A 17,695-nucleotide genomic window follows, 5' to 3' on the forward strand; every position below is an offset into this window, starting at 1 on the left:
CTGCCTCAGCCTCCCCAGTAGCTGGGATTACAGGCGCCTGCCACAACCCCGGGCTAATTTTTGTATTTTTAGTAGAGACAGGGTTTCACCATGTTGGCCAGGCTGGTCTCGAACTCCTGACCTCAAGCAATCTGCCCACCTCAGCCCCCCAAAGTGCTGGGATTACAGGCATGAGCTACTGTGCCCAGCCCACTTTCTTCTTTTTAAGTTTATTCCAAAAAGAAAATATGTAAACTGAATAAGGAAAAATAGTACATTCCACCAGAATGTTGCAACAGGAAATGGACTATCTTTAAATCTCATACAAATTGAATTATACTATTTACCTGAGTTGGATAAATACTAATATTATAAACAGATTGAAAGAAAAAAAGCTATGTAATGTATAATGTTATTAGCTGTTACTATAGAAATTAAACCCATTTTTTCCACTGAATTTTAGAAATCAAAGTTAACAAGATTCATAATACAACTATGTACAAGAAGAACATTCAGACATAGTTAGGTTACAGGGCCACTGGGGCTAAAAATGTGACTTTTTCTCTCTTTGGAGAAATTATTCTCCACAACTATATGGTCAATAGTAGCCTAAAAGCCTATATAGAGCTTGTTCATAAAAGAGTAGCACTTCAGACTGAATATCCACCAAAAGAAATCTGTTACTAAAATATCAGAAACAGACGCAATTTCTTATGTTAAAACTTGCTTTGCCACCACCATGATAGCTTGAGTTTTAAAATGTAAAATCCTCAAAATCCCAATTATGACTTTGCAGAAATAGAAAAAAATCCATAAATTCATATGGAATCTCAAGGGACCATGAATAGCTGAAATAATCTTGAAAAATAACAAAGTTGGAGGTCTCACATTTCCTGATTTCAAAACTTACTACAAACTTACACTAATCAAAATAGTGTGGTACTGTCATAAAGACAGACATACGATCAATGGAATGGAATAGAGAGCCCACAAATAAATTTTTGCATATATAGACAAATGATTTTCTACAAGAGTGCAAGATCTCTCAGTGGGGAAAGGAGAGTCTTTTCAACAAATGTTGGGAAAACAGGGTGTCCACATGCAGAAGAATTAAGTTGGAACTTTTCCTTGCAGCATATACAAAAAGTAACTCAAAATTAATAAAAATGTAAGAGCTAAAACTATAAAACTCTTAGAAATAGCACAGGAGAAAAGTTCCATGATATTGGATATAGCACTTATTTCTTGGATATGATACCAAAGCACAGGCAACAAAAGAAAAACATATAAATTGGACTATGTTCAATTTAAAAACTTCCTTGCATCAGAGAACACAATCAACAGTGTGGAAAGCAACCCATAAAATGGGAGAAAATATCTGCATATCGTATGTGCAATAAGAATTAATATCCAGAGGCCGGGTGCAGTGGCACATGCCTATAATCCCGGCACTTGGGGAGGCCAAGGTGGGTGGATCACCTGAGGTGAGATCGGGAGTTTGAGACCAGCCTGACCAACATGGAGAAACCCCGTCTCTACTAAAAATATAAAATTAGCTGGGCGTGATGGTGCATGCCTGTAATCCCAGCTACTCGAGAGGCTGAGGCAGGAAAATTGCTTGAACTTGGGATGTGGAGGTTGCGATGAGCTGAGATCATGCCATTGCACTCCAGCCTGGGCAACAAGAGTGAAACTCTGTCTCAAAAAAAAAAAAAAAAAAGGAATTAATATCCATATCTAGAATATTGAAGAACTCTTATGGCAAAAAAGAAAAAAAAATTTAATGGGCAAAGGACTCAAATAGACATTTCTTCAAAGAAGATATACAAGTGGCCAAAAAGCACATGAAAAGATACTCAATATCACAAGTCATTAGGGAAACACAAATCAAAACTACAATGAGATACTACTTTACACCCAACAGGATGGCTATCAAGAAAAGAAAGAAAGAAAGAAAAAGAAAGAAAGAAAGAAAGAAAGAAAGAAAGAAAGAAAGAAAGAAAGAAAGAAAGAAAGAAAGAGAAAGAAAGAGAAAGAAAGAAAGAAAGGAAAGAAAGAGAAAGAGAAAGAAAGAAAGAAAGAAAGAAAGAAAGAAAGAAAGAAAGAAAGAAAGAAAGAAAGAAAGAAAGAAGGAAAGAAAGAAAGAAAAGAGTTGGTGAGGGTACAGAAAAATTGAAACCCTGGTGCACTAGTGGTAGAAAAGTAAAATGGTGCAGCTACTATGGAAAATAGTATGTCAGTTCCTCAAAAATTAAAAGTAGATTACCATATGATCCCAAAAGAATCAAAAGCAGAGATTCAAACAATATTTGAACACTCATGTTCATAGTAATATTATTCACAATAGTCAAAAATAAGAAGAATCCAAGTATCCATTGACTGATAAATGGACAAACTAAATATGGTACATACATACAATGGAATATTATTCAGCCTTAAAAAGGAAGGAAATTTTGACATGTACCATAAGATTGGTGAATCTTGAAGATGTTATACTAAGTATAACAAGTCAGTTACAAAAGGACAAATGCTGTATGATTCCACTACAGGTACTTAGAGTACTCAAATCATAGAGACAGAAAGTGGAACACTGGGTGGTTGCCAGGGCAGAGAGCAAGGGGAAAAGGGATGCTATTTTTTAATTAGTAGTTTCTAGTTTAGAAGATGAAAATAATTCTGGAGATGGATGGTGGTGATAATTGCACAACAAGGTGAATATACTTAATGCCACTGAACTGTACACTTAAAGATGGTTAAAATGGTCAATTTTATATTACATATATTTTACCACAATCTTATTTTTATTTATTTATTTATTTTTTAGAGATGGAGCCTTGCCATGTTGTCTAGCCTGGTCTTGAGCTCCTGGCCTCATGCAATCCTCCCATTTCAGCCTCCCAAAGTGCTAGGGTTACAGGCGTGAGCCACCACGCCTGGCCAACAATTTAAAAAAATTTAAGTATACATTCACCTGCCTAAAAAAATCAACTAAGAAAAGAAAATTAAAATCTTCCCCAATTTTCTATCTAGAGATTATGTTTTTGAAAAAACTAAAATTTCAACCTGGGCGCAGTGGCTCAGGCCTATAATCCCAGCACTGTAGGAAGCTGAGGCTGGTGGATTTCTTGAGCCCAGGAGTTCAAGACCAGCTTGGGCAACATGGCAAAACCCTGTCTCTATAAAAAATGCAAAAATTAGCCAGGTGTGGTGGCCTGTGCCTGTATTCCCAGCTACCTGGGAGGCTGAGAAGGGACGATCACTTGAGTCCAGGAGGTAGAACACATCACTGCACTCCAGCTGGGGCAACAGACTGAAACCCCATCTCAAAACAAAACAAAACAAAAAACTAAAATTCCATGTAATAAATTATAAAAGTGTAGTCATATTTTCCTGTGATTAGTCATCTGAATGTCACTGTCATCCACGGATTTGAATGCATTTTTATTACGTGGTTTTCTTCTTTTTTCTATTTTACACACATTAGGATATTAATAGTGTGTCAGCTGCAGTGTCCTGGATTAAAAATTAGATAAGGTCACAGGTTCCCCCATGCAGTGCTATCATCCTACAGTGTATAATTTCTTAAATTCTAAAAGACTGCAAGCTCTCAGTTCTATGCTGATAAAGACCTTAGGCAGAGCCCTTAAACTGCCCACCTGTACGCATAATCAGCAGATAGGGTCCAGCTTTCTGTGAACCAGGTGAGAAGCTGAATTCTTTTTTTATTTTTTGAGACAGAGTCTTGCTCTGTCGCCCAGGCTGGAGTACAGTGGTGCGATCTCAGCTCACTGCAACCTCCACCTCCCAGGTTCAAGCAATTCTCCTGCCCCAGCCTCCTGAGTAGCTGGGACTACAGGCGCGTGCCACCACGCCAGACTAATTTTTGTATTTTTAGTAGAGACAGGGTTTCACCATTGATGGCCAGGCTGGTCTCGAACTCCTGACCTCAGGTGATCTACCCACCTCGGCCTCCCAGAGTGCTGGAATCACAGGCACGAGTCACTGTGCCGGGCCAGTGAGAAGCTGAATTTTTTAGAACATGGGAGAAGTCATTGCTAAGGTACAACTAGATGACATTTTCTCACAGTGGTTGTTTATCCAGCTTAGTAAATGTAATCCCCTCAACAGAAACCAGCTAGATGAGACCCAGGACAAATCAAGCATCTCTGGTACAACTCTGTTTATTAAGTTAAATTTTCTTCACCTCTTTCTTAATTTCCTGTGATTGCCTCCTTTTCAGTTATCTCTAGAAGTTATTTTTGCAGCTCGAGGGGGAAATCCTTCTATGTAATTCCATCTGGAGGACTGAGTGGCGGGTGGCCTTGCCACACAGCTATTTGCATGAGGCTTTTCCTGGGAAAGAACTCATCCCCAGGGAGGAAGGGCACCATTTTGGTTGAAGGACAATAGAGCAGGGTCAGAGGGGAGGGGTGAGTCTGAGTGCAGCACAGTGTCTGTCACTCAGTCTCCCATGTAGCCCACCCCCATCGGCCCTTGCCTGAGTCCTGGGGTGAGGGATTGTCATGAAAGACCCAAGTAAGAACTAGAGGAATTGGTAAATTAGAATTCAAAGCACCACAGCTTCAGCAGTAAGCGGGGAAGGTGGGGAAGAGTAGCCCTGTCTATAGCTTACATCATGCTCTCAGTATAGACATCAGCCTGAGCAGCCTCCAAGTAGACAACAACTGGCATAAACAGAAGAGCGAGTCTTTGGGGCACACACAACTGTGTTCGCTGTGCACTTACAGGGGCAGCCATCAGACCCACAGCAGGCTGGAGAAGGAAAAAAGGGCAAATGGCAAATGCCAATATTATCCCACAGGAGTGTGTGGAACATGTGTGGGTCATTTTCTGGGGTCTTCCAAGGCTTATGAGATAACCTAAAGGAGCTTGGCATTCTCACCAAGCGGGAGGGTGCAGGGGCAAGAGAGGGAAAAGATAGCTTTATAAAGTCTTTGATCTTATTTTTATCCTCAGACTGGTGAGGGCTGGAGATATGGGTAAAGCATTTTCAAAAGAGAAACTATCTTGATCAAACAAAATAAAACTACATTGTCTAGCCAGAATTTATACGAGGTTTATTTGAATCACATAACATTGAATTTCTTTGGGTTTACTGTGTTTTCTGATCTATTCATTTTAGCCTCTGACATAAGTGAATTCTACACTTACACATTTGACCAAGTTAGCAAAACTACTGTTGAATTTTTTGAACAAAAATGCAAGAAAATCTCAGCCATTCTGAACTTTTGAGGAATGTCACACTGTATATTTACTTTTACAAAAAAATCAGAGTTAGTATGCTAAATATTAGAGTTTTTAATTTTAAGGGTTTGGGCACAGGTACATCCTCAAATGTATTATAAAGTCCCCCTCCACTTAAAAAATATATAAGGTACATAATGTCTTTTTGAAAACTCAGGGTGGTCCTTATAAGTTATCAATTTTCTGATGTACTGAAGATTAATATTGTTGTGTCCTTACTGAATCCATTTGCTTTTTGTTTTTCTTTTAAAGCAAGTTTCTGATATAGACTCAGAGCTAGTTTTTTGCTTATTTTTACTCCTACTCAAGAGATGCAATGTGGTAGAAAGAGCATGCCCTAGGGAATCTTGTGTTAGAAACATGCATCGGTACAACAGTTCAGAGAGGTTAGTGTGCCTCTCTGAACTGTTTCTTTGTCTGCAAAATGGGCATAGCAATAGCTACCTCACAGATTTTTCATGGGCTAATGTATACAAAGTGCCTGGTAAATGTTGGTTACTCCCCACCCCTTGGGAGTCAAACAAATTATAGCTCTTTTGTTTACTACAGCTATGTGACCTCGGGCCAGTTAGCTCTGAATTTCAGCTCCCCAACCTGCATGAGAATGAAATATCTGTGAAGTGACTAATATACTGCCTGACATACAGTGAGGCCCAATGAAAGGCAATTTCCTCCTTTTTCTTTTTTTCTGATAAGAGCGAATTGCCTGATCCACTGGGCAACATAACCAAAAGCCTTTCCATAAACTGAACCAATAAGTTAAAGACTAAGACATTTTTTTCTCATCCCTGTTGTTCCCAATATTTGGTGACTACCCAAACCATTCATAAAAACATCTGTGATTCCTGTGCCATGAACCTAGTGGACCACTAGCAACTCTGTGTCAGCTTGTGCCACCCTCTGGGCCTCTTGAACTACTTGTTGATGGGATTTAAAGAGGCAGCTCCCTCCCTAATTCAAAAATTTGGACTACACTGTGTAGAGTCTGCAGTTCCCTCATCACCACTGTCAAAAGATTATATTACAGCAGAAATGTCTTACTATTTTTTCTAAACTTTTCTTAGTATTTTTTTTTAAACCCAGCATCAGTAAGAAACAATGCTACATAACACATTTTGCTAGTACTCATGCTGAAGGTAAATATTGCCCATATATGAAGGATGCAACCAAAGTCAAGCTCTCTGATTTAGGAAAGGAAAATAAAAATAAGCACAAAAATTAGAAATGTTAAGTTTTTTAAAAATTGCATCTTTAACAATATTCCCATTGAGTTCCTACTTGGAATGTCCTTTTTATAAAAAAAGAAACTAGACCCTTGAAAAAAGGGTCTACTTATTTATGATTTGTGATTTGTTAACTGCTTTTCATGGGCAATATTTGGCCTTACAAGGCCTGTTTAAAATGCCAAATAGTCAATTGCATTTGCTTGTAAAATTATCTTGCCCTTTCAATATATTGGACCAGAGATGGGACACATTCAAAAATTTTTTGAACATGAACATCTCATATGTACTGTTACCTAAGTGCTGTTGTTTAAGAGATACGTGATGCTCTGCGATTTGAGTGAGCATAAAATTTCTAGACCTGCCATTTCTGATACCTGATACTTCCCTATTCACAATAGTCACCACTTTGTAATTACAATTGCGCCTTTCTCCCTTCCCACAAGACTGAGAGCACTGAAGGCAGGAGCCTCTTGTTCTCTTTTGTGTCCCTAGCTCCTAGCACAATGACTGACACAAGTGGGTGCTCAGTAAACATTTGTTGAATGGTGTGTATGTGTGGATCCTACTTATCCATCAACAATTTATTGTGCTTCTTCTTTTCAAAGCAAAGGACAGAACTGCTTTTTAAAAAGCTACCTTTTTGCCCTTCGCTAGAGAAAGTTTAGATTCCAAGAGATATTGACTTATTAGTTTCATTTATGTTCACAAAATTTCTGTCAAATCTCTCCATGGTTCAGATTCCTTATTGAACATGAAGAAGAAATAGAAGTGAACAACAGTTGATCCTCATTATTCACAGTAGTAGTTATGTTCTATAAAGTTGCCACAAACATGAAATTAGTGAATACTGAATCATTGCTCCCCAGGGAAACACAGAGTTGGAGTCCTGTGAGTCTTTCTTTACATTATTTTCATCAACCAATCAATACATTACCTTATTTTGTATGTTTTTCTGCTTAAAGGCATCTTATTTTATAAAAACTGTTACTTAATTAACATTGAACTCATGATCAATGACACTATGTCTGAAGGACTCATGTCTGAAGGAAACTTACCTGACACACGTTTTCTCCTTAAAGTATGTCCTACACTTAGGAACACTAGACAGCACTTCAGCACTCTGCCTGGGGCCATTTTAAACAGCAAAATCAGCAACAAAAGCTACAAAAATGTGAAACATGTGGCACTAAATAGATAGCAAAAAAGATACTTGTCTATAGTACGAGAGCTGAAACAAGAGGGCAGACAAAAGCCTGTTCAGCCTCTGTTGGAAACATGCACATAGGCAACACAAATTTTTGGCCTCTCTGTGCATGTCTGGGAATGGCCATGAAAGCACAGCAAGTATTGATTTAGGGATTACAAATAAATGTTAGCATCCCGAATCTCTCAGCCTCCTTGTGACTGGAGGGGGTTATGTGACTAGCTGTGGTCAATAGGCTATGAGAAATGATGAGTGAACTGATGCACAACTCTTCTACTTTTTTCTTCCTGTCCAAACAACTAATGCACGTGAAGAGAAAACTGATGGCATTTTCACTTGATGGTGAAAACTCCATCAGCTTGGGTCCCTGAGTGACTACATGGAACACAAACACCCTCTGTTCCCATCAAATCAAGTTGGACAAATATAGTAATGAGAAAGAGTTTGGCCACTGGTATTTGTGGATTAATTTATTATTGCAGCATGTCCCTGTCTACCCTTATTAATACTGAAATTGGTACCAAAATAAGGGTACCAACATAGGTTTTGCCACCACCAAAATCTAAAATATAGAGCTGATAATATGTGGAATAAAACACATGACCCTCATTTCAAAGATCCTGATTCAGGAATTGAATTCTATTTCTTTACCTATACATAATACCTGAAAAAATGCTTTAGAGATCATCGAACTTAATGCTTTCATTTATGAATGAGAAATCTAGGCTGAAGTAAGGTGAATAACTTAAAATATTACCCTTTAAAATGAATTAAATGTTATGCATTTCATAAAAGTAAGTTGTTATTATTGCCTACCCCCTACCAAGGATATACAGTTGATTCACAACCAAGCCATGACTAGAACCCAAGTTGTTTTTTTATTACTAGGTATAAATGTAGTTTATTACTCAGTTTTTTAAAATATAGAAATACATATTACAAGGAATATTGACTGGAAGTTGCTGATATTCAGATGCCTTTTGCATATAGAAATAGGCGACTGTTTCGTTTGCATTACTGCTTTACACAGAAGCTAAAGATGCCTAATGGAGACAGAAAAAGACAGAGAGAGAGAGGTCTATCATTGAATTTCAGACTTATTCAAAGGTGTTAGATAGATTGCAATGGTCAAACCAAGGCAGACTTATTGGGAGAAACAACAGAGACTCTGAGGAAGCTCACTCTTAGGGAAGAAGAATCTGGGATGCGAAGTCAAACCCAGCAACAGGACCCAAGTGTTGGAGAGGCTGTTGCAGATTTCATTGCTCCTTCTCATAACCACTACCTCCTCTCTCCTTGGCTTTATCTGCACTGGCCTCCTTGTTGTGCCTCAGACTCTCCAGGCACGCTTTCCCCTAAGGCCTCTGCCCCTTTGCCTAGAATGCTCTTCCCGCATGGTGTGCTCTCCCATCTTCTTTAGGTCTTTATTTAAATGTTAGCTTTTTAGTGGAAACTTTCCTGATCTCCTATTTAAAACTACAATCCTCATCCCTGAAATATCCTAGGGCTTTTCTTGTCTTTATTTGTCTCCATAGGATTGCTATCTTTTAACAGATCTGTTCGACTGACTTTGTTTCTTGTCTGTCTCCTCCTCTAGAATGTAACTCCTTAAGGACTGAGATTTTTTGTTGTTTGTTCAACAAGATTTGTTTATGCTTTATCCCCAATGCCTAAAGATAGTATCTGGCCAATAGCAGATACTTCATAAATATTTGCTGGATGAATGAATGAATGAATATACATGGGTAGTTATCTGACTTCTGAATACAGGGAAGACGTTCTCTGAAATAACAAAGAAAAAAATAGAGATTCTAACTGTAAAAAACAATCATAGCCAATTAAAAGGCAAAAAAAAAGAAAGGAAATATTTGTAACAACTATGAAAGATATAGGGTAACTATACTTAATTATAAAGAGTTTACATATATCAGTGAGAAGAACCCTAAAGCTCAAAAGAAAAATGCCTGAAAGGTATAAATAGACAGTTCACTAAAGAGATATAAAATGTTCATTAAGAAACAGTTCAACTCAACTAACAACTAAAGAATTATAAATTGAAACAATAATGAGATACCATTACTCACCTCTTAAATCAGGACAAATTTTAGAACTATAATAGTTATTGCAAGTGAGAGTTTGATAAATAGGCATTCTCATAATTTTGTTGGGAAGACATATGACTCTAAAAAGTAACTGGACAACAGAAACACACAAGTCTTCAAAAACATTTATACCCTTTAATTGAGTTGTTTAAAAAGAAGGACAAAGATTGTTGCAGAAATATGACGTTATGTTTAATAGTAAAAAATGGGAAAAATAAATATTCAATAATAAGGAAATATCTGAGTAAAATACAGTACACCCATAGAATAAAATATTATACAAGGATTAAAAATATATCCAAGGGTGGCTGAATGATGTGGGAAATGCTTATTATAAATATTTAAAGTTGCATATATACTGTGCTTGCAATTATGGAAAAAATACATGTGAAGAAAAATACCCACCAAAATAGCCACAATCATTCTTTTAGGTTGGTAGAATTATGGATGATTATGAAAAACTTTTTTCATAACTTTTAAATTTTCCTAAATCATTGTTTTTCAAACTTGTTTTTGTCCTCCTAAGGAGACTTTTTAGGTATCTTTTCTGGTATTGCTCTCTTTTGAAACTTTAATACCATAGATATATACTGTACATATATTTATATTCTGTGATCCTTTTGAGGGCCATAAACCATTGTCACATCTAAAATTTCTTTACTGTCACCCACAGAACCAAATTTCACTCTCTTGAGAACAGTAGTGATGACACTGAGAATGCATGTTTTAAATAATCTATATCAGACTGGTTTTACTTTGATAATTAGATACAATTTTTTTTTTTTGAGACAGAGCCTTGCTCTGTCGCCCAAGATAGAGTGCAGTAGCTTGATCTCGGCTCACTGCAATCTCTGCCTCCCGGGTTCAAGCGATTCTCCTGCTTCAGCCTCCTGAGTAGCTGGGATTACAGGCGCGTGCCACCACGCCCGGCTAATTTTTGTATTTTTAGTAGAGATGAGGTTTCACCATGTTGGTCAGGCTGGTCTTGAACTCCTGACCTCGTTATCTGCCCACCTTGGCCTCCCAAAGTGCTGAGATTACAGGCGTGAGTCACCATGTCTGGCCTACAATTTTTTTTGAAAGAAAGTGCTACGTATTTCAGCTCAAAGGACTAAATTTCTAACAGTAGAATTTCTGGTCCTCTGGCACCTGAAATTTTGAAACAATGATCTTTCTATTATACCTAAAACTGCTTGTGTATGTAGACATTTGTTCTAGCTAATATAAGTCTGACTTTGGATTTGTAGATTTAGATATGTAATATATTTTGCAGGAAAGGACAGAGTTGAATTTAAAAACAACCAATTCTTACATTTTACTCTAGCATGGAGAAAATTCCTTTCAGGAGCATTATTTAATTTACTGCTTCTTAATTCCAATTCTATAGATGAAAAAATAAAGCTCAGATAAAGTAAATAGCTTGACCAAGATCCCATCATTAGTAAAACACAGAGTTATCTAACTCCAAAATATTTGTTCTTTCCATTATATGTTGCTATAGGTGTTAATAACAATTTTCAGTGAAAATATGATGTAAGCACAGAGCAAAGGAAAGCCCTGGAACAAAACTCACTGGGTAATGTTTCCTGTACTAACAATCATCCACAAGTGGTGCCATCCATAGCCATCTGGTCCAATTTCCCCACACTACATAACTTGATTGGCTTCTCATGGTCTTGCCAACATTTTTTGAGCATTGTTATCTTTTTTCAATAGCTTCCTTAAAGATGCTGCACTTCAATCTTCAGGCCAGGGCACGTGAGGCAGTGAACCCAATCCTGTAAACTTCTCTGACTCTCCAAGACCCCTTGCCAAGCCACTGCTGCTGGGAGACAGCCCTAGAGCATGACTTCTTGCAATGTACTTTGAAGTAGATAAAATATGCACTCACGGACATCTGTCTGTTATTTCCTGCACTCACAGCTTTGTTCTGCTTTATTGCCAGAGAATTCTATGGATGATGTCACTTTTTTCTGAAGAGAACAGGCCATCAGAGCTTTTCACTGACATAATTAATTATCTGTAGTTTGATTCTGGGCCAGAAAATTCTCAAGGCACAGCCCCCAAAAGAATTAACTCTACTGTGCTTGCTATTCTTAAACTGTTAAAGAGACAGGGTACCATATCTCTTTTTTTCTCAGGCACTGATAATGGTATTTTTGTTCAGTGATATCAAGTAACAGAAAGTGAACTGGGGCACTATTCTATGATTTCACAAGGAAGACCTTCGGTTCAATGGGCAGCAAACTCTAAAGGTCGCTACAGATCAAGTATACAAAGCAAAGCTTTTAGGGCTTAGTCTTAAATGCTACAGGAATGCATCACAATTACTGAATAGACTTTGGGGGATCTTGTGAATCTGCAGGCAGAAAAATGAGATCTCAACCAAAGCTAACCATGTTAAATTAGCCACAAGGTGAAAGGCTTCAGTTTATCAGCCACAAAAGCCTAAAACATAAAATATATTTAAACCTTTCAGGAGATAAGAAATTACCTGAATGGTGACCATATATTTTGAGAGTCTTCACCTATGTTTTCATATAGATCTAAAACAAATTAGCCAGTTGCCCAAAAGACTTGTTACTCTCCATTCTGCTGGGTTTCAAGATTATGTAAATGCACTGTTCTTTGTCTCTTTAAAACTGGAGCTCTGTGGGGAATGATGGACACTGTAGATGTCATAAGGCAGTGGAGGGGCTCTGTGGAATCAGGGCACTTGAGTCATTTCTGTCCCTGATCTTCACTAGGTGAGTAACAAGGTAAGATCTGGGAAGTCTCTCAACTTTCTCAACTCTGGTGGAAATAGCAAAATCCTATTTAATCTAAAGGATTAATGGAGACCATAGGTTTGAATATGCATATAAATATTGTCCCCCTAAAAAGGAATTGTTATTTATGGTCTCTTCTACTACCTTAATTCTGCATAAATGAGTTTGAATTGTGCTCTCTCTGAATGAATTTACAGTGGTAAATTATCTCTTCAGACCTACCATCAAAATTTAAAGACAAAATTATGACACAAAAATGTTTGTTATAAAAAAATCAACATTAGAGAAGTGGTTAAACAAAATGAAACGTATATGCTACATCCTCCCACATTCCACTCACCAAGGCTAATTCTATTAATAATTTGAAGTGGATCATTTCAAAATTGTTTTCTCTGTAGATATACAAATGTAGTAGTAACACATGCATTATCTCCCCCACCCAACAACATTATGAAGCACTTAGACAAGTAATGGACAAAGTGCTTTTTAAACATTATCTCATTTAAACCTTACATAACCTTATCAGATAGACACTATTATTATCACCATTTTGTAAATGAGGGCTCTGAGGCAGGTGCAGAAAAGTTCAGTCATTTGCTCAGTCACATTAACTAATAAGTGGTGTCAGAATGCGAAATCAGGCAACCTAACTTCAGAGCTGGCAATCTTAATATTATACTTTATAAATTCTCCATATACATATATCCATATAGAACCTCTCAAATATGTACCACCTTATTTTTTTATTCAACAATAGAATGGAAAGGTCAAGGAGAATTAAATTTCGTTGCCACTAATACTCATTTCACCATAACTGTTATGTCTTGTATTTCATTTTCAATAAATTAATCAAGCCTCTTCTATTTTTATGTCCGTCTTTCAGTTGAGTCTTTTTCAGTGTTCTCAATTTTTTTTACCTGAATCTATAACCTAAAATTTAGATCAAACTCTAATACAAAAAAAATTCCAAGGAAAAGATCAAATAATTGTGTTAGACTAGAATTCCACTTTGTTAACTTTGTTTGAAATAACAATTTCCACTGTGATTTATGTCTGTAGTAATTAAATCAAACCTTTACCAGACATCTCTGATTTGTCCTGCTCCTTGCTTTATATGGAAGTTGACAGATCTAGCTACTTCTTCTCTTTCCTTTAGCACCTGCACATCCTAAATGGAACAGTTAGTTATCTATCTCTCTTCCTCCCCCTCTTCTTCCATCCTTCATTCCATCTGCTAACTAATTCCTTTAGCAGCTATGTGCAAAGTATGTGGCTAGTTGCTGTGGTGAATCTCATACGAGTAGGACATAATCCTATGTTTGTATGACTTTATAATCTAGTAGGAGTGAGATTTCGGAAGGTTACTCCTATAGCTAATTGTTCATCAAGCCACCTTTTGGAAGGAAGGGTGAAAGGAAAGTTCTAGAGCATGAAATAGCATTGGGAAGTCTTCAGGATTAATCTTTAATTCCTGTTTTTTGACCATCTAATTGGCTCCAAGCCTTAGTGGACCATTTGATTTATAGAATCAGAATAATTTAGAACAACAAAAAAATTTAATTGCTTTTTTTTTTTTTTTTTTGAGACAGGGTCTTGTTCTGTTGCCCAGGCTGGAGTTCAGTGGCACAGTCATGGCTCACTGCAGCTTCAACCTCCAAGGCTCAATTGATCCCCGCGCCTCAGCCTCCCGAGTAGCTGGGACTACAAGTGAGCACAACCATGCCCAGCTATTTTTTTTTTTTTTTTTTTTGGAGAGACAAGGTTTCGCCATGTTTTCAGGTTGGTCTGGAACTCCTGGCCTCAAGCAATCTGCCCACCTCGGCCTCCCAAAGTACTGGGATTACAAGAGTGGGCCACCACGCCCAACCTAATTTCTTAATTTATAACTAAAGAAATAGAAATTCAAAGAAGTCAATAATTTGCCTAAGGAATACAACTAATTGGTTCTCGATTGCACATTAGAATCCCAGTCTCCTGATTCTCAGACCAGAGATCTCTCCATTATGCTAAATCACTAGTAAATATATTGCAGTAATCTCACATAGGAATTAATTCATATGCTAATTAATTTTTAAAACATGAAATGAGCAATTTTTGGCAAAATTAATATTTTAAGAAGCATTTGAATGCTATTGGGCGCACTTGAAGGAGTGCTGGCATACATATCAATAGCAGCTTGTCAATAGCAGCTTATGACTGTAAAATCAATGCCCTAAAAAATGGTAATTGATGTTTCACTGATATTTGACTGTGTATTCAAATACATCACTTGTCAATTAGCAATAGGAATGTGTTTACTGAACTTAAAATATCTGATGCAATGTATTTTTCTCTTACTCCTTTATCATGTAATGCAATATTTTACCTTAATTTTCAGATAAGTATATATATAGTATTATTTATATCATGCCTTCTTTCCATATGCAGATCCTGAAGTCAACCAGGAACTGGTTGGTAAGTTTGATAATCTTCTTGAGGGAAGATGTTGGAAAAACTTAATTTTGTTATAAGCTGATTAACTACTTCCAATAACCAATCTTCACTCAAAGTGGGGAGCACTCTGGTTAAGCATGTTACATATCATGGTCCCATTACTTGTAGCCCCTTAGGATTTTTTTTTTTTTTTCATGATAGGCTAACCCTGAGCTTTATCTGGCAGCATAACATTGATTATGGCATTGGGAAATCTTTGCCGTACTAGCTTGTATAATGTTTCCAATGTATCTACTTTTTCCAAATAAATGACCAAGAACCACTGGCCAAGATTTATATTAATAGCTGGAAAGTTTCAGGGAAAGAACTTTCTGGATTACGATAGAGTCAATAAAATGGTTCAAGTTCTCCCTAGCTTGTTTCAAACTCCTACTGCTTATTTGTAGTTACCAAGCTGCCAAAAATTATTGTTTCAGACAATGATATGCATTGACCTCTACTGAGTTTTTGTGGTCAGGAACCTTCTCTGAGCTGTCATAATCGTGCTTCATCATCTCCAAGCAAGTGGTCAGATGAAAGCATGGTGAAGATGACTAAATAGAAGAGGCAGGTGGATGAGATCAGTTAACCAGCATCGCCAGATTTCTCAGCACTGAACTCACTTCATGTTCAACAGTGGCCAGTCTTGTTAAATAATATTATGGGAATATCCCTAGAGTGTTCTTGCACATTTCTTCATGACCTTCAAGGCCAGTAAGCATGTAGTCTGAAGCCTTTTTTCTACAGCCACTCTTCACTTGCTTAATCCTGAGAGCTAGCTTAGCAAGATACCATGGAGCTGCAGCAATACGGCCACATCAGTTCCAGCTGAAGTCTTAGTAGCTGTTTTGGAGATAGTGTCACATTCAGCGGGATGAGTTCTCAAGGCTTACATCTCAAGATGACTTAATCACAGCAAAACATTTGAAGCATCTCTTCCTGAGGTGTCTGGGCGTTGCTTTTCCTAGCCACGCCTCCTAAGGATTCACCAAAGCCACAAACGAAGAAAACAATTACGTAACTCTGATTTTGCAGCTGCTAAAGTGGAGGCACTTGGTACTTTTAGAACTACCAGTAAAACAAAGAGAAAATTCATCTCTCTCACCCTCCAAACTCAAATCTGTATTTGGTTCTGCCACCATCTTTTCTTTTTTATTATACTTTAAGTTCTGAGATCCATGTGCAGAATGTGCAGGTTTGTTACATAGGTATACATGTGCCATGGTGGTTTTCTGCACCCACCAACCCATCATCTACATTAGGTATTTTGCCTAATGCTATCCTCCCTTTGCTATCCCTAATGCTATCCTCCCCTTGCCCCCCACCCACCAACAGGCCCCGGTGTGTGATGTTCCCCTCCCTGTGCCCATATGTTCTCATTGTTCAACTCCCACTTATGAGTGAGAACATGTGGTGTTTGGTTTTCTGTTCCTGTGTTAGTTTGCTGAGAATGATAGTTTCCAGCTGCAACCATGTCCCTGTAAAGGACATGAACCCATTCTTTTTTATGGCTGCATAGTATTCCATGGCGTATATGTGCCACACTTTCTTTTTCCAGTCTAACTTTGATGGGCATTTGGGTTGGTTCAAAGTTTGCTATTTTTTTGGTTCCATTTTTTGCTATTGTGAATAGTGCTGCAATAAACATATGTGTGCATATGTCTTTATAGTAGAATGATTTATAATCCTTTGGGTATACACCCAGTAATGGCATTGCTGGGTCAAATGGTATTTCTAGTTCTAGATTCTTGAGGAATTGCCAAACTGTCTTCCAAAATGGTTGAACTAATTTACACTCCCACCAACAGTGTAAGAGCGTTCCTATTTCTCCACATCCTCTCCAGCATCTGTTGTTTCCTGACTTTTTAATGATCACCATTCTAACTGGCGTGAGATGGTATCTCATTGTGGTTTTGATTCACATTCCTCTAATGACCAGTGATGATGAGCTTTTTTCATGTGTTTGCTGCATAAATGTCTTCTTTTGAAAAGTTCATATCCTTTGCCCACTTTTTGATGGGGTTGTTTATTTTTTTCTTATACATTTGTTTAAGTTCCTTGGATAGATTCTGGATATTAGTCCTTCGTGAGATGGATAGATTGCAAAAATTTTCTCCCATTCTGTAGGTTGCCTGTTCACTCTGAGGATAGTTTCTTTTGCTGTGCAGAAGCTCTTTAGTTTAATTAGATCCCACTTGTCAATTTTGGCTTTTGTTGCCATTGCTTTTGGTGTTTTAGTCATGAAGTCTTTGCCCATGCCTATGTCCTGAATGGTATTGCCTAGGTTTTCTTCTAGGGTTTTTATGGTTTTAGATCTTACATTTAAATCTTTAACCCATCTTGAGTTAATTTTTGTATAAGGTGTAAGGAAGGGGTCCAGTTTCAGTTTTCTGCATATGGCTAGCCCGTTTTCCCAACACCATTTATTAAATAGGAAATCCTTTCCCCATTGCTTGTTTTTATCAGGTTTGTCAAAGATCAGGTGGTTGTAGATGTGTGTGTTATTTCTGAGGCCTCTGTTCTGTTCCATTGTCTATATATCTTTTTTGGTACCAGTACCATGCTGTTTTGGTTCCTATAGGCTTATAGTATAGTTTGAAGTCAGATAGCGTGATGCCTCCAGCTTTGTTCTTTTTGCTTAGGATTTTCTTGGCTATACGGGCCCTTTTTTGGTTCCAC

At 37.5% G+C, this 17,695-nt stretch overlaps 1 protein-coding gene and 1 long non-coding RNA gene across 7 annotated transcripts in view; one reads left to right on the forward strand and one right to left on the reverse strand.

Annotated features, from left to right (window-relative positions):
* FILIP1 (filamin A interacting protein 1) overlaps positions 1-17,695 on the reverse strand; it is a 201,942-nt gene that overhangs the window by 78,828 nt on the left and 105,419 nt on the right. The window lies entirely within an intron of this gene.
* LOC101928540 (uncharacterized) overlaps positions 12,500-17,695 on the forward strand; it is a 75,715-nt gene continuing 70,519 nt past the window's right edge. Inside the window, exons 1-2 of the long non-coding RNA NR_125859.1 lie at positions 12,500-12,535; positions 14,972-14,998. This is a non-coding gene — a long non-coding RNA (uncharacterized LOC101928540). The remainder of the gene's footprint in view (positions 12,536-14,971; positions 14,999-17,695) is intronic.

Source organism: Homo sapiens, chromosome 6 (assembly GCF_000001405.40).
Source record: "Homo sapiens chromosome 6, GRCh38.p14 Primary Assembly".
Taxonomy (NCBI): domain Eukaryota; kingdom Metazoa; phylum Chordata; class Mammalia; order Primates; family Hominidae; genus Homo; species Homo sapiens.